We start from the raw sequence: 17,642 nt of genomic DNA on the forward strand, positions 1-17,642 counted from the left end.
GCTGAGCGGAAACGGGGTGGGGCGCGAACGGGATAAAACCCAGGGGTTGTGCGGGGTCCTGAGGGGAACCAGCGCCGGATAAAAACGGGGAAGGGAGGGAGGTGAACAGAGCTGAGGGAAACCGGGAAAAGGGGAGCGATAGAAACCGGAGTAGGGGAAGCCGGGCTCAGGGGAAAAGGGGGTGTTGGAGAGTGGTAGAGCCGGGCTGAGAGAAAAACCAAGCAGGGGAAGCGGCGATCCGGGGAGAACGGAGAGAGGGAGACCGAGGGCTGTGGGGGTAAGGGGAACCAAAGGGGCTGAAGCGAAATCGAGGGGAGGGGCAGGTGAAAATGGAGCCATGCGAAGGCCGATGAGGGGGGAAACGGGTAAAAATGGGGGCGGGAGAAATAGGTTGGAGGGAATACTGGCCGAGAAGAAACCTGGGGAGAGCTGGGCTTAGGGGAAAATGGGGAGGGGGTGGAAGGAAGGTGTAATAACCGGGTGCTGGGGAGGACGTAAGAATTGGGGGGTGCGGCGAGGGTCAAGGCTAGGGTAAAACAAGGGGGGCTACTCAATGGCTCCGGTAATGGGAGAGGGAAGTGAGGAGAACACGGGGCGGTGGGGAGAGGAGGGCAGGGTGAAAACCGGAGTGGGGGTGGGAACGAGATAAAAAACGGGGCAGGAGCGATTCGGAAGAAGACTGTCCCCTTACCTACCTACGGCGACAGCCTCGCCTGTCCCCGTCCCCCTGAGAAACCTGCTCTCCCTGTCTACCCGCATAGCCTCAAGAAATGGCTCGCTTGGGTCAGACGCCCCCTTTTTAACATTCCAGGGCCAGGGCAGGAGTCATCATGGAGGCTTTTCATGCCTGAAAGACCCCATTTCTTAGTTGTCCGGTCCCCAGTAGTATCAGTGGCTTGGGGATTTCTTACTGAGCTCAGCTCATTGTCCCCAAAATGCCTCCCCTTACCCCCAACTCGAGCGCTTCCCTTTCCTGCTTTGGGCCCAAGCTCTTCCCGCGGTTCTTGGTGTCAGCTTCATTCAAGTCACTCTCCCGCCTCTCATTCCTTTCTCCCCGCCTTTCTTCGCTTCCCTCCAAGTGCCCTCTCCATTTGCCGGTCACTGGTCCCAGAGCTCCGGATCGCAGTGGTTCCATTTTAAATTTCTTTGCTTCCTAACGCAACCTATGTTTTCTACGGTAACTGAGGTTCCCGTGTTCTTTTTCACCATGGTCTCTCCGTTTTAATGTTTCGGGTTTTTTTACCCAGGCCCCTGTTTTATGAGCCCTGGGTACGTCCTTCCTGTGTCCCGTTTGGCCTCCTGGGTTACACTCCTGTTCACCCCGCTTGGCCGGTTTTTTTTTTTCTTTTCTTTGAACCTGCCGGTTTCTCAGTCTCCCCCTTTTCCGCTGGCTACCTGTCCCTTTCTCGCCGCCCATGTTAACTTTAGCATGCCCCGTTCTCTCTCTTCATTTTCCACTGGGTATTTTTTATGTTTCCCAATTTTAAAAACGGCCCAGCGCACCCCTTTTTTTGGGACTCCACTTTTATCTCTGGCACCAGTGTCGGCCTCCTCCACCTCTGCTCCCATTTAATCGCTAATTTCCTGCCTCCTGAGGACCCCCGTTTTATTGTCCAGGCTCCCCCCTCCCATTTTTCTCTTCTCTAATTTTCTGAGTCTCCATTTTTTGTCTCCCAAATTCCTTCGATTCCTGGAGTCTTACAGGCCTCGTTTTTATGTACACGTCATGGAAAAGAATAAAAGGGTAAGGTCGCGGGGCGCGATGGCTCATGCCTGTAATCCCAGCACTTTGGGAGGCCAAGGCGGGCAGATCACCTGAGGTCAGGAGTTCGAGACCAGCCTGGCCGATATGGCCAAACCCAATCTCTACTAAAAATACAAAAATTAGCTGGGTGTGGTGGCGGGCACCTGTAAACCCGGCTACTCGGGAGACTGAGGCAGGAGAATCACTTGAACCCAGGAGGTGGAGGTTGCAGTGAGCTGAGATCTTGCCATTGCACACCAGCCTGGGTGATGGAGGCTCCGTCTGGAGGAAAAAAAAAAAAAAAAAACAAAAAAGGCGGGGCTGAGGTGAGAAGAATATTGTTACCAATTTTTAAAAAGCTAGTAAAAAAAATTTTTTTTGGCAAGTTCGTTTTTCCAAGTCTTTCAATTTACTAACCAGGTCTCAATCAAGATCACAAAAGCACTTACTTAAAAATAGCTTTATTCCATTATCTTTTAAAAAAGGCATATGATAACCTCAGAACTAATTTCTCCCAACCTCCCCCCACCACATCTTAAAATGTAAATAATGGAGAAGGAGCTGCTTATTTTTCTTTGCAGCAGTTCCTGGCCAGTCCCAACGTGAGAAATATCAGTTGGCACTTATTGCATCATAATACATTTTGCCTAGTAAGGATGATTTTCTAAGTCTCAGTGCATGGGTTATTGCAATTTTCCATCTTGTGTTTTCCTGCGGCAATTATGGGGCTTGTATGTGCTTGTGAGAATTGGGGCTAATATCAAAGCCACAGAATTGTGGAGGCCCCCTTCCCAGGCTCCACCAGGGTTTGAGAAAAACAAGAAAAAAGTCAGTTGCAATGGACCTGAAGTGTGTATCTTCCTGGTCCTGATAAATAGATCTCATGGTCTCTAAGTTAACAATACATGCAGATAAGATTTTTTTTAAAGCACAGTGTAACAACTTGGACTTTGCCACACAAACTGTAATCCACTGTCAACAAGCTTGTGGATTTGGGCATGGATCGTCTTAAAGAAGCCCGAATTCTTCAAAAAATCCTTAAAACTTGAAGACCTGGATTTTACCTGACCCAGGATATTACTGTGCACACAGGACTCAGATATGTGACAGCAGTCACAGCTCAGCTGGTCAAAGGTTTATAGTGTTTGACACCAGGACCATGAAGCTCCCATTTGGTAGTGGAAAAACCCTCAAATATTTCCTATCAACAGATGTGTGTGCTAGAGAAGAGGAAGTTGTGGAAAATATCCCAGTGATCCTACAAAACATTCTCTGTGTTCCTAGCTAGGGTTTTTTTTTTTTTTCACCTCAACAGTTTTTGTGTTTTCTTTTTTTAATCTTGTTGCCTCTGAGTAGTAGACTCTTCAATTCTGGAATTTGGTTGCCGAAGACTCTAAAGGAGAGACTCACTCAGTAATTCAGTGACTTTAGAAGCAAGCTGAGTATCTCATTCTAAAATGACACTGATTTACACTGTTGAGAATGGTTAAGTACGTGGGGTACCTTGCAGCAAAAGACAAAAAGCAAAAAGCCAGTAGACCTGCAATTCACAGCTATTCCTGAGGGGTGCACATTGCAGCCCACTCTTGAGCTCCCCAGTGTTCTGAGCAGGGGACAGGGCATACTTCTAGTGATTTGCTCAGTTTAATCCCTTCATCCAAGAAAACAGACCTTCCCCAACCACACCTGCAGGGTTACTTCAGACAACCAGCTTCTCATTTTAGAGTCCCAGTTCCTAGAATTGGAGAAAGGAAGTTCCCCTTTAAGCCCTAGGTCCTGCCCACTAGAGCAGATACGCAACATTAAAGAGTGCAAATTCAAGTCAGTTTTTCATATTTAGCAAACATCCATTGCACCCTTATAAGGTCCTCGACTTTAAGAAATTTATATGAAATCGGAAAACTTAAATCTTGAAACTATACAAGGATCTACTGGAAGCATCAGCAGGCTAAACTCATCACATGGTATTTTCATTCCAAATTTAGTGTTATTGATCAGTGTACCCTCAGAATATCCTTAAGAAGCAGGAAGGAAACAAGTTTTCCTCTTCCCACTTCCAAGACTGAGAAAGAGTCCAGATGAGCTGGTTTGCCCAAGCAATTCTTATCACCAGATACTCCGTTATTAAACGTGTCTCCTGCCTTCTTTGAAAGCAACAGGAGAAATGAAGCATAGGAAAGTCTGCAAGCTAACAGTGTATCACCTAGGAGGCTTGTATATAAATATGAAGCTCTGCAAAATGTAGTTATAATGAAAGGCACTTCCTATTACCAGCTCCCTAACTCTTTTTAAAAGAATTCTATCTCCAGGGAAATAAAACTGGTTAAGACAGTGCTCTGATATGCTTAGTTTAGTTCCTTCATCCAAGAAAACAGACCTTCCCCAACCACACCTGCAGGGTTACTTCAGACAACCAGCTTCTCATTTTAGAGTCCCAGTTCTTAGAAATGGAGAAAGGAAGTTCCCCTTTAAGCCCTAGGTCCTGCCCACTAGAGCAGATACGCAACTTTAAAGAGTACAAATTCAAGTCAGATTTTCATATTTAGCAGGTGATCTTACAAAGATATTTTTCAATAAATGGATTATGTTTTTCAATGAATGGATCTTACAAAGATGTTTTTCAATAAATGGAAGGAAAGATGTGTGTGCTTGGTTTTTTTGCTGAGACCCAAATGTTGCCAGTGCAATCCCCCACCAGGGGTACAGGTCAAATCAAAGCTGAATGAAGAGCTCATCTTCGATGTAGCTTTCCAAGCTTTCAGAACGAGACAATAATAAGTGAGCAGCTTCCTCATCTATTTTACAGGTGAGGAAATTGAGGCCAAGAGAGAGGTAAAGAGTCGTGCTCTAGCCCATGAAAGAAGGAAGCAACAGAGCCCAGATTCAACTTCAGGTGTTTCTAACTCCAAAGCCTGAACCAAACTGCCTTCCTCTGATTGGCATTGGTACCTGGAACTTCACCTGTTCCAAGGAGCTGATATTTGCAAGGTGCCGTGGCTGAGGCAGGAGAATCGCTTGAACCTGGGAGGCAGAAGTTGTGGTGAGCCAAGATCGTGCCATTGCACTCCAGCCTGGGCAATAGAGGGAGACTCCGTCTCAAAAAAAAAAAAAAAAAAAAAAAAAAGCGGCAAAAGGCACCAAGACCCAGTGCTTCCCTGACCTCTGTTCCCTCTAAATCAGCATCTATCACAGTAGATCAACCTGGATAAAGCCAGGATTCACAGCAGAAGTGGCACCTCAGACACCAAAGCAGCTTTCCTTCTCAAAGCTTTTAAACATCATTGGGAAAACTTAGAGCAAATCAAACCAATGTTTTTCAATACATGGAAGGAAAGATGTGTGTGCTTGGTTTTGTTTTTTGCTGAGACCCAAACATTGTTAGTGCAAGCCCCCGCCAGGGGTGCAGGTGGAGTCAAAGCTGAATGAAGAGCTCGTCTTCAATGTAGCTCTCCAAGCTTTCAGAGCAAGACAACCATGGACCATCCTCTTCTTCAGACTGGCCTGTCTTCTTCTTGAACAATGTCACTTTGCTCCTCACTGCTGTCATCTGTATGGGGGGAAATAAACCCAATGCTTTGTAATCAGAGTGTGATTCTATTTCCACCGTCAGTCATCAATCATCTCAGTGATTTCTAGTCCTTTCCTGGTGAGCCACAGAATGGGATCTCATGGAGAAGGTAGGGCAGCGTGTGTTTTCCCCTTTTCACCTGTTTTCTACATTCAGAACCTCTAGGCATGCTTGATACCAGTCACCCTTCATGTCCTCAGCTCACGCCCCTCCCCTCACCTGAAACGCCCTCTCTCCTTTCTGCTTATTCCAACTCAGCCGTCTTAACGCCTTGCTTCATGTCTACCTCTTCCATAAAGCTTCCCCTGACCAGCACACCTCTCCGGGCTCTTATCTTTCTCTGAGGTCCTATAAATTTTGGTGCAGTGGCACGATCTCATCTCACTGCAGCCTCAACTTCCCAGGCTCAGGTGATTCTCCCACCTCAGCCTCCCAAGTAGCTGGGGCTACAGGTACATGCCACACACCCAGCTAATTTTTTGTATTCTTAGTAGAGACACGTTTTGCCATGTTCCCAAGGCTAGTCTCGAACTCCTGAGCTCCAGCGATCCACCCACTTTGGCCTCCCAAAGTGCTGGGATTACAGGCATGAGCAACCGTGCCTATAATTTTTAAATGTGTTGTCCATCAGGCAATTAATCAAATATCTTCCTGCAACAGCTCCTCTACTGCTCTCTCAGTGTGTTGGTTCAATCTTGCTCCTGTTTCCATTTCCCCTGCAGGTTTTAGTTTGTTCCCCTAAACTGGCCTTTTTTTTTTTTTTTTTGAGACAGAGTCTCACTCTGTCACCCAGGCTGAAGTGCAGTGGCACGATCTCGGCTCACTGCAGCCTCCGTCTCCCGGGTTCAAGTGATTCTCCTGCCTTGGTCTCCCAAGTAGCTGGGATTACAGGCACCTACCACACCCAGCTGATTTTTGTATTTTTAGTAGAGATGGGGGTCTCACCATGTTGGCCAGGCTGGTCTCAAACTCCTGACCTCAAATGATCCACCTGCCTCAGCCTCCCAAAATGCTGGGATTATAGGCGTGAGCCACCGCACCTGGCCTGAACTGGTCTTGTAAAGCTCCCTGCATGCAGACACTACCAGTCTCTATTTTCTGTTCTCCCACAATGCCAATATTGTGCCTACCCTAGACCAGGACCTTGATAAGTGTTTGTCAATTTGATTTTCATGTTGGTAGTTGATAGTAGTCTCAGGTTCTAGACTAAAGTTTAGCTATCTTCCCCAGCCTTTTAAAAAAACTAAACTCACCCCTTAGAGATTTCCTGCTGGGAAGCTCACCGCAGCAGTTCAGAGGTTTGTGGGCTTTTTTTTTTTTTTTTTTTTTTCTGAGGCAGGTTTCCTACTGCTGCCCAGACTGGAGTGCAGTGGTGTGATCATAGCTCACTGCAGCCTGGACTTCCTACACTCAAGTGATCCTCAGCCTCCCAAGTAGCTGGGAACACAGGTGCACACCACCATGACCGGCTAATTTTTCTTTTTTTTTTTTTTTTTTTTCGTAGAGACAGAGTCTCACCATGTTGCCCAGGCTAGTCTTGAACTTCTGGGCTTAAGTGATCTTCCCACCTTGGCCTCCCAAAGTGCTGGGATTATAGGCGTGAGCCAACGCGCCTTTTTTTGTTTGTTTTCTGTTTGTTTGTTTAAGGAAAAAGAGCTTACCTTGAAGATCCTGGAATCCATTTCCCATCTGTTCTATGTTCCCATTCACCAAGGCGGTCACTCTGTGAATGTGGTCCTGCTTAGGTATTTCTTTTGGCAACTCCTCTCTCTCACGTGCTCCCTCCTGTTCCCCTACTGCAGCATCTTCCTCCTCCTCCTCCTCCTCCTCCTCTTCCTCTTCTGAATCCACCAAAACCATGACATCATCCATGTTTTGTCCCCTAATTTCCAAAGGGGAAAAATAATCAAGAAGATTTCTTATTTTTCCCAACTTCAGCCCTCACTGAATAGGAAACACTAGATTCTTTGCAACCCCATTAGTAATATGGAAAATTACAGCTTGGTGAAGTAATGAGGTGATGGTGTGGTAACCGCAGAGATGCTGCCACAAATTGCTTCAGATGATGGTATCTCATGCTGGTTTATTACTCCCCTGCTCCTTGGGCAGGTGACCATATTGTCCCAGGCATCTACCATTTCATGTCCCCTTACAGCAGGTAGACAAATGTTTTTCCTTTTCTGAAATGCCCTCATTCTGCTCTACTTACCAAAATCTCTCCCCTTCCTCATTTTGGAAGACCCAGGTAAAGTCCTCTCCCTCCTGCTAAAGACCTAAATTAATGACTGCATTTAGAGTCCATGCTATAGTTTATTTATCACCAGCTCACTAGCTTGCCTACCCAGCCAGACTTTGCATTTCAGACTATACATTTCTTTTTTTTTTCTTTTTCGGGATAGAGTCTTGCGCTGTTGCCCAGGCTAGAGTGCAGTGGCGCAATCTTGGCTCACTGCAACCTCCACCTCCTGGGTGCAAGCAATTCTCCTGCCTCAGCCACCCAAGTAGCTGGGACTACAGGCATGCGCCACCACATCTGGCTAATTTTTGTATTTTTAGTAGAGACATGGTTTCAACATGTTGGCCAGGCTGGTCTCGAATGCCTGGCCTCAAGTGATCCAACCACCTTGGCCTCCCAGAGTGCTGAGATTATAGGCATGAGCCACTGTTGTGCCCGGCCTGGACTGTGCATTTCTTCTTCTTCTTCTTCTTCTTTTTTTTTTTTTTTTTGAGACAGAGTTTCATTCTTGTTGCCCAGGCTGGAGTGCAATGGCACAATCATGGCTCACCGCAACCTCTGCCTCCCAGGTTCAAGCAATTCTCCTGCTTCAACCTCCCAAGCAGCTGGGATTACAGGCATGCGCCACTACATGCGGCTAATTTTTTGTATTTTTAGTAGAGATGGGGTTTCTGCATGTTGGTCAGGCTGGTCTCGAACTCCCGACCTCAGGTGATCCACCCGCCTCGGCCTCCCAAAGTGCTGGGATTACAGGCGTGAGCCACTGCACCCGGCCTGGACTATGCATTTCTTAAGGAAGAAGAATGAACGCCACAGGTCAGTCACCTGCCCGAGGAGCTGTGTTACATTGTCATTTAATCTTCACAAACCCCCTGGTGAAACAAATCAGGAGACTAAGGCTCAGAAAGGGTCAGGGATTTTCTATGGGTACAGGGCTTGGGAATGGCACAGCTGTCATTTGAACCCAGGTCCAATGGTCTCAGTGCCTTTTCCTACTACACCACACTGATGCCTCCAGTGAGAAATAAGCCCAGGGAATGACAGACTTACTAAGAATGGCCCTCCAATACAGGGCAGTAAAGGTAATGTTTTGCTACGAAAGATGGTCCCAGGTCAATAATATCCTGTCATTTTGAAGAGGTAAAGAACTGTTTTTCCATAGGATCATAGAGAAGAGTACTCTGCTCCCACCCAGAATCTCCTTAGGAAATGAAATACACAAGTTCCGTTTGGTTCCTTCGCCCCTACTGGGGTTTCCTTTTGGGAGGGGGTTCTGGGCATGCTCATAGTAGTCTTCCAAAACACTGTAAAACTGGCTGGGTGCAGTGGCTCGTGCCTGTAATCCCGGCACTTTGGGAGGCCGAGGCGGGCAGACCACTTGAGGCCAGGAGTTTGAGACTAGCCTGGGCAACATGGTGAAACCCTGTCTCTACTAAAAATACAAAAATTAGCCAGGCTTGATGGTGCGCACCTGTAATCCCAACTACTCGGAAGGCTGAGGCAGGAGAATGGCCTCAACCTGGGAGGTAGGGATTGCAGTGAGCTGAGACTGCACCACTGCACTCCAGCCTGAGCAAGAGAGAGAGATTCTGTCTCAAAAAAAAAAAAAAAAAGAAAAAAGAAAAAGAAAAAAAAACTTAAGACTATGACTGATTCTTTCTTTTAGCTCTTTTTAGAAAATTAAATAAAACAAATGCATGAATGACTGGCTCAAAATGTACACATTGTCTTTCTGTCTCAATGACAGACCTGCAATGTGTCCAGCCCTGAGGTTTGGCGCTGTAAAAGAACACAGACTTTGGAATTGATTAGACCTGGACCTGAAGGAAGGCACTGCTGCTTTCTTCTGGAATGAGCTTGCAGAAATTACTTCACTGAGCCTCCATCCCCTTATCTGGAAAATGGAGATGTCACCACCACCCTGAGGAGATGATGAAAGGGTTTATAAGAATACCTGATGAAATCCCTAGGCCAGTGTCTAGCACATCGTAGGTCCTCAATGGTAGTTGCTATTATTGTTCTTGTGAAAGGAAGGGAACAAAACAGAAGTGAAGACAGATGCGGGAATGGGTGTTTGGTTTGATTCTAGGGAACACTCACCTGGAAGTGTTTCCTACTGAAGAGAGAAAGGAAAAACCATTAATATCCAGTAACATCCACTTCAACCTGACAGGTTCTTAATCAGGCAAACATTTACTAGAGGAACAAATAAGAAAACTGACTCAATATGACAGGTGATAGGGTGTCCCGGGATGGTACTTAGGTGACTTATTACTGTGTATCTTGACCCAGCAAAGAAGCCCAGAGAACAGAACTTCAGGTGGGAGCAAGGCAGGGGCCATCCTTCCCCATCCCGCACCTTTTCAAAAGTCTGGAAGAGAAGCTAAAGGACCCAGGGAGTCCTTACCTTTCCAGCAGAACACAGGGCTATAATGCAACAGAAGCCCTGAGATAATGGCCAGTCCCAGCAGAAGGAGGCTCACAATGGTTCCCACAATCCCCCCGATATTTAAAGGTTCTGTAAAGACAAATCACACCATTGATTCTTCCATCAGATATGTGTGCAATTAGAACAACACCTCCCTTTCTCTGCGTGGATCCAGTTCTTGTCTTGATTCCTGACCTTGGGTAAGGCTTATGACCTGTCTGTAATGCCAGATAAATATTTTATCACCCAACCTCAGAGAGTTTGTGGGGATCAGATGGAGCAGGGAATGTGAACAAACAATGGAAAGTTAAAATCTCTCTGTCTACCAAACACTGAGACTATTTCTAAGGCCATGGTAAGTAAGAGTGTTGAGAGTTATCAATGCCATGATAAACAGAGTGATCAACGGAACAGAACAGAGAGTCCAGGAACGGGTCCACACGTAAGTATAATTGATATATGACAGGGTCTTGAGCAAAGGAAGCACTATTTAAGAATTGGTACTAGAGCCCGGGCGCAGTGGCGCATGCCTGTAATCCCAGCACTTTGGGAGGCTGAGGAGGGCGGATCACCTGAAGTCGGGAGATCGAGACCAGCCTGACCAACATGTTAAAACCCCGTCTCTACTAAAAATACAAAATTAGCCAGGTGTGGTGGTGCATGTCTGTAATCCCAGCTACTTGGGAGGCTGAGGCAGGAGAATCACTTGAACCCGGGAGGCGGGGGTTGCGGTGAGCCAAGATCGCGCCATTGCACTCCAGCCTGGGCAACAAGAGCGAAATTCCATCTCAAAGAAAGAAAGAGGGCCGGGCGCGGTGGCTCACGCCTGTAATCCCAGCACTTTGGGAGGCCGAGGCAGGCGGATCACGAGGTCAGGAGGTCGAGACCATCCTGGCTAACACAGTGAAACCCCATCTCTACTAAAAATACAAAAAATTAGCCGGGCACAGCGGCGGGCGCCTGCAGTCCCAGCTACTTGGGAGGCTGAGGCAGGAGAATGGCATGAACCCAGGAGGTGGAGCTTGCAGTGAGCCGAGATCGCACCACTGCACTCCAGCCTGGGTGACAGAGCAAGACTCCGTCTCAAAAAAAAAAAAGAAAGAAAGAGGAGGGGAGGGGAGGGAAAGAAAAGAAGGAAGGTAGGAAAGGGAAAAGGGAGAAGAGAAAGGAAAAGGGAGAAGGGAAGGGAAGAAAGAGGCCAGGTGTGGTGGCTCATGCTTGCAATCTCAACACTTTGGGAGGCTGAGATGGGAGGCTCACTTCAGGCCAGGAGTTCAAGACCAACCTGGTCAACACAGTGCGACCTCATCTGTATAAAAAATAAAATAAAAAGAAATAAGTAGAGACATATATAGTAAAACTTAAAATTCAGGACCATGGTTACCTTTCGAGAGAGGCCCAAGATGAGACTAGGCCTACAGGGAGGGTTCCCAGGTAAAATTCAGTATGCCCAGTGAAATTTGGATTTCAGATAAACAATGAATAGTTTTTTTAGTGTAAGTATGTCTCATGAAATATTTGGGACACACTTATACTTAAAAGTATTTATTTTTCTAAACTCAAATTTAAGCAGGCATCCTGTTTTTAAAGTTCTATTGCTATTTTCTTCTTTTTGAAGTGGATTCTCGCTCTGTCACCCAAGCTGAAGTGCAGTGGTGTGATCTCGGCTCACTGCAACCTTCGCCTCCCAGATTCAAGCAATTCTGCCTCAGACTTCCGAGTAGCTGGGATTACAGGCACCTGCCACCATGCTCAGCTAATGGTCTCGAACTCCCAACCTCAGGTGATCTGCCCATCTCAGCCTCCCAAGTAATTTTGTATTTTTAGTAAAGACGAGGTTTCACCATACTAGCCAGGCTGGTCTCAAACTCCTGGCCTCAAGTGATCCACCCGCCTCGGCCTCCCAAAGTGCTGGGATTACAGGCGTGAGCCACTGTGCCCAGCCCTATCGTTGTTTCCAAATCTGGCCCTGAGACATACAAGTAACCTAATGCATGTTGGTACTATTCTGTATCCTCAGTGGGATGATAGTTTCTTAGGTGTTCATTTTGCTGTTATGCTTTACAACTGACATACACTAGATATCTATTCGTTGGTGTGTATAGATATTATGTAATTTTTGCTACCTATGGAAATATTAGTGAGTTTAGGGTTGGATAATTTCTTCCAGCCACCTTGTCAAGTCATAAGCAAGCAGATATGCCTTCTCCCAGTTGGCAGTGACCCATGTGTAGGGAGGCACCAGGCTGTCCTCATGCTGATGCTGGGTGCTCTGAAGCTCTGAACCCTCCCTCCTTCAGGCCCAGTTCCACCACTCACCTTTCACACTCAGCCAGATTTCCATCTCCCTCACCCCTACAGGGCTGTCAGCTCGGCAGATGTAGTAGCCCTCATCCAGGTCCTGGGAGCAGTTGTGGATAGTGAGGGTGGAGTTCTGGCCATCCTGGGTAATGAGATGGCGGCTGCTAGGCTGGATGATCACCTCGGGCTGGGTAAGGTTCCTCAGCCACAGGATCTTGGCAGGGGGGTAGGCCCCAGACACCTGGCATGTAAGCGTCACATTGCCCCCAGTGAAGCAAGTCTTCATGGGCTCAGAGAGAAGGGAGGGACCCCCTGGTGATCAGAAGGTAAACAAAGACAAATGTTTAAAGAGATTCAAGTCATGGCCTGAGATCTGCAGGAAAACTGCAGTAGTTTTTTGTTTTGTTTTGTTTTGTTTTGAGATGGAGGTTTTGCTCTGTTGCCCAGGCTGGAGTGCAGTGGTGCGATCTCAGCTCACTGCAACCTCTGCCTCCCTCCCGGGTTCAAGCAATTCTCCTGCCTCAGCCTCCCGAGCTGGGATTACAGGCATGCGCCACCACACCTGGCTAATTTTTGTATTTTTAGTAGAGACAGGGTTTCACCATGTTGCCCAGGCTGGTCTCAAACTCCCAACCTCAGGTGATTTGCCCATCTCAGTCTCCCAAAGTGCTGGGATTACAGGCGTGAGCCACCGCATCCGGCCCCAGTCCCCTTTATCTGTGATTTCACTTTCTGAGGTTTCAGTTACCATGGTTGACTACAGTCCAAAAATACTAAATGGAAAATTTCAGAAATGAACAATTTTTTTTTTTTTTTGAGATGGAGTCTCACTTTGTCGCCCAGGCTGGAGTGCAGTGATGCAATCTCAGCTCACTGCAATCTCCACCTCCTGAATTCAAGAGATTTTCCTGCCTCAGCCTCCCAAGTGGCTGGGATTACAGGCATGAGCCACCACGCCCACCTAATTTTTGTATTTTTAGTAGAGACGGGGTTTCACCATATTGGCCAGGCTAGTCTCAAACTCCTGACCTCAGGTGATCCACTTGCCTTAGCCTCCCAAAGTGCTAGGATTACAGGCGTGAGCCACCGTGCCGGGCCAATTCATAAATTTTTTATTTTTTCATTTCTTGCAGTACTTTTAAGTATATTCACAATTTCCTAAGTTTTAAACTGCACATTGTTCTGAGTCGTGTGACGAAATCTCACACCATCTGCATGAGCCTTTCTTCATCACAAGAAGGCTGAGTAGATATTTTGAGAGAAAGATCACATTCGCATACCTTTTATGACAGTATATTGTTATACTTGTCTATTTTTTATTAGTTACTATTGTTAATCTCTTATTGTGCCTAATGTATAAATTAACCTTATCATAAGTATTTATGTATAAGAAAAAGCATAGTATATATATGTATATATGTATATATGTGTATATGTATATATATGTGTATATATGTATATATGTGTATATGTATATATATGTATATATATGTATATATGTGTGTATATATATATGTGTGTGTGTGTATATATGTGTGTGTGTGTATATATATATATAGGGTTCAGTGCTACCCATGGCTTCAGGCATCCACTGGGGATCTAGGAACATATCCCTCATGGGTAAGGCAGGAACACTACATTTCCTTCCTAATGAAGCAACTCCAGAAATTTCTTTTTTTCTTTTTTTGTTTTTGAGACAAGGTCTCGCTCTGTCACCCAGGCTGGAGTGCAGTGCTGTGATCTTGGCTCACTGCAACCTCTGCCTCCCAGGTTCAAGTGATTCTCATGCTTCAGCCTCCCAAGTAGCTGGGATTACAGGTGCCTGCCACCATGCCTGGCTAATTTTTGTACTTTTAGTAGAAACAGGGTTTCACCATGTTGGTCAGGCTGGTCTTGAACTCCTGACCTCAAATGATCCTCCACCTTGGCCTCCCAAAGTGCTGGGATTACAGGCATGAGCCACCGTGCCTGGCCAACTCCAGAAATTTCTCCACCACACCTCGTCTTACATCATAATAAGCCTAAGATTACTAGGCATTTACTGTGGGCAAGGCACTGTTACATGTATTAACCCAATTCACTCTCACAGCAACCCTGTTATTATGCCCATTTTGCAGATAAGGAAACTGAGGCACAGAGAAAGTTAAGTAATTTGCTGAATGCTACAGAACTAAATAGGCAATGCAGCTAGGATTCAGAGTGATCAACTGCCCCAGTCTGCCCAGGACGTGGAGTATTCCCAGAATGAGGAGTTTTCAGTCCTAAAACCAGGAGAGTTCTGTGCAAACCAGGATAAACTGGCTACTGTATCCATAAGCCTTCCTTCTATGCTATACACTTTTACACATAAAAACTGTACTGATCGTATAAAAATGGACACATATCTGACAAGGATTTCAAGGGGACAAGAGGGCAGCTGTATTTGTTTCCAATTGCTGATGTAATAGATTGTGACAAACTTAGTGGCTTAAAGCACATTTATTCTCTTAACAGTTGTGGAGGCCAGGAGTCTAGAACGTCTTACAAGGTTAACATCAAGATGTTGGCAGAGCTGGTTCCTTTTGGACGCTCTAGAGCAAGCTTTTCCAACCTGCAGCTGCGGGCTAAATTCGGCCCAGGATGGCTTTGAATGTGAGGACATTTTTGTTTATCTGTGTGATGGATATCATGAAAATTATGCACGGTCCCTTTTTTTTTTTTTTGGCTCATCACCTATCGTTAGTGTTAGTGTTTGTGTGAAATACATTCCCATGATCAAATTACCTCCCACCAGGTCCCTCTGCCAATATTTGGAGTTACAATTCAACATGAGATTTGGGTGGGGACACAGAGCCAAACCATATCATGGTGTTTCGCTGTGTTGCCCAGGCTGGTCTCAAACTCCTGGGCCCAAGCAATATGCCCGTCCTTGGCCTCCCAAAGTGCTGGGATTACAGTCATGAGCTACCACATCTGACTGATCCTGGCGCTTCTGATCTCTCTTACCTTTCCCTTTTTTTTGTTTTGAGACAGAGTTTCACTCTGACACCCAGGCCTGGAGTGACCGCTCACTGCAGCCTCAACCTCCTAGGTACAAGCAATACTCTCACATCAGCCTCCCCAGTAGCTGGGATTATAGGTGCATACCACCATGCCCAGCTACTTTATTTATTTTTTATTGTTTGTAGAAACAAGGTCTGTGTTGCCCAGGCTGGTCTCGAATTCCTAGCCGTAAGCTATCCTCCTGCCTCTGACTCCCAAAGTGCTGGGATTACAGGCGTGAGCCACCACGCCCGGCCTTCTCCCTTCTTACAAAGAAAGACATCAGTCATTGGATTACAGCCTACTCTAATCCACTATGACCTTATCTTAACTTGATTCCATCTGCAAAGACTCTTTCTGAATAAAGTCATATCCACAGGTATTAGGGTTTGGACTTGAACATATCTACTGGGGGGACACAACTGAACCCCCAACCTCCACCCAGCTTTATCAGTACTTTACACACGATGCCCCGGCCACACTGGTCTTCTCTCGGGTCCTCAAATGCCAAGTTTGTTTCCACCTCAGGGCCTCTGCGTTTGCTGTTGCCTCTGCCAGGAACACTCAGCCCACGGATCTTCACCTAGCCAGCTCCTTCTCATTCTAAGGATAGATTATTACCATCTCACGGAGACCTCCCTGCCACCCTAGGAAAAGTGCCCCTCTTCTTATAAAGGCCTCCCTTTTATATATACCATTTTATTATCCTCATATTATCATCATATCTGGACCTATCTTACTTGTTTTTGTACTTTCTGTCTTCCTTCTACCCCCATGCCACCCAGAATATAAGCTCTGTGAAAGAGGAATGTTTGTGGTTTTAATATGTACAGACATTCTCTGACACTCCTCCCTTCAAAAAGTGGTGCCTAATTCTTCCCAGCCCTCTTCAATGTGGGCTGGACTTATTTCTAAGACACAGAGTGTGGCAGAAGGGATCCCATGTAACTCCTGAGGCTAGGTCATAGAAAGGATAGCATCAGCTTGACTCACTCCATTTTGGATCATTTGCTCTGAGGGAAGCCATCTGCCATGTTGGAAGGACACTCAAGCAGCCTTATGGAGAATCCCACATGGAGAAGAAATAGTTGCCAGGCATGGGAGTGAGGACTTCAAAAGTAGATCTTTCAGATGATTTCAGCCCCGCAACCTTCAATTCTTCCGGCTGACACCCCAGACATACAGAGCCAAGACAAACCATCCCCAATGCCCACTGTGCCCTCTCTGAATTCCTGACCCACAGAAATCATCAGATAATAAATGGTTATTCTTGTTTTAAGCCACTATGTTTGAGAGTAATTTGTTACATAACTAGAAGCTATAGTTTGAATGTTTGTCCCCTCCAAATCTCATGTTTAAATTTGATCCTCAGTGTTGGAGGTAAGGCCTAATGGAAGGTGTTTGGGTAAGTGAATTCTCATTCTATTAGCTTACTGCAAAAGTAATTACAATTTTTGTCACTATTTTCTTTTTTTGAGATGGAGTCTCACTCCATCGCCCAGGCTGGAGTGCAGTGGTGCGATCTCGGCTCACTGGAAGCTCCGCCTCCTGGGTTCACGCAGTTCTCCTGCCTCAGCCTCCCGAGTAGCTGGGACTACAGGCATGCGCCACCACGCCCAACTAATTTTTGTATTTTTAGTAGAGATGGGGTTTCATCATGTTGGCCAGGCTGGTCTCAGACTCCTGACCTCAAGTGATCCACCTGCCTCAGCCTCCCAAAGTGCTGAGATTACAGGTGTGAGCTACCACGCCCAGCCACTGCTGGTTGTTAAAAAGAGTTTGGCACCTCCCTTCTCTCTCTTGCTTCCTCTCTCACTATGGAACTCTGCATAAGCTGGCTCCCCTTTACCTTCTGTCATGAGCAGAAGCAGCCTGACGCTCTCACCAGAAGCCAAGCAGATGCTGGTGCCATGTTTCTTGCACAGCCTACGGAACTATGAGCAAATAAAGTAATTTTCAGCTAGGTGCGGTGGCTCACACCTATAATCCCAGCACTTTAGGAGGCCGAGGCAGGTAGATCACTTGGGGTCAGTTCGAGACCAGCCTGGCCAACATGGTGAAACCCCATTTCTACTAAAAATACAAAAATTAGCTGGGCATGATGGTGCACGCCTGTAGTCCCAGCTACTCAAGAGGCTAAGGCAGGAGAATTGCTTGAACCTGGGAGGCAGAGGCTGTAGTGAGCCAAGATCATGCCACTGCACTCCAGTCTGGGCAACAGAGCAAGACTCTGCCTAAAAAAAAAAAAAAAAAAAAAAAAAAAAAAATTTTCTTTATAAACTACCCAGCCTCAGGTATTCCTTTACAGCAACAGTAAATGGACAGACACAAAAGACGATGAACC

The 17,642-nt window shown here is 46.3% G+C and overlaps 2 protein-coding genes and 1 long non-coding RNA gene across 10 annotated transcripts in view; 1 reads left to right on the top strand and 2 right to left on the bottom strand.

Annotated features, from left to right (window-relative positions):
• Positions 1-771, bottom strand: part of WSB2 (WD repeat and SOCS box containing 2) — a 29,488-nt gene extending 28,717 nt beyond the window's left edge. The window contains exon 1 of the mRNA NM_001278557.1: positions 696-771. Coding sequence (NP_001265486.1) covers positions 696-759 — 64 coding nt within the window. The 5' untranslated portion in view covers positions 760-771. The remainder of the gene's footprint in view (positions 1-695) is intronic.
• Positions 57-16,577, top strand: LOC124903030 (uncharacterized). Its single transcript, XR_007063479.1, has 2 exons — positions 57-277; positions 14,771-16,577. It is a non-coding gene; the product is annotated as an uncharacterized LOC124903030 (long non-coding RNA).
• The window catches only part of VSIG10 (V-set and immunoglobulin domain containing 10), a 40,419-nt gene continuing 24,966 nt past the window's right edge, over positions 2,190-17,642 (bottom strand). For 4 of the 8 annotated variants that reach the window (XM_006719467.3, NM_019086.6, XM_005253908.5 and 1 more), the window contains 5 exons: positions 12,296-12,589; positions 9,956-10,066; positions 9,649-9,664; positions 6,974-7,194; positions 2,190-5,291 (listed from right to left, as the gene is read on the bottom strand). In XM_006719467.3, the coding sequence (XP_006719530.1) occupies positions 5,236-5,291; positions 6,974-7,194; positions 9,649-9,664; positions 9,956-10,066; positions 12,296-12,589 (698 nt within the window). In that variant the 3' untranslated portion in view covers positions 2,190-5,235. Of the gene's footprint in view, positions 5,292-6,973; positions 7,195-9,502; positions 9,665-9,955; positions 10,067-12,295; positions 12,590-17,642 lie in introns of those variants that run through there. The other 4 variants (XM_011538502.2, XR_002957343.2, XR_002957342.2 and 1 more) reach the window with 4 other exon arrangements.

Source organism: Homo sapiens, chromosome 12 (genome assembly GCF_000001405.40).
Source record: "Homo sapiens chromosome 12, GRCh38.p14 Primary Assembly".
Taxonomy (NCBI): Eukaryota; Metazoa; Chordata; class Mammalia; order Primates; family Hominidae; genus Homo; species Homo sapiens.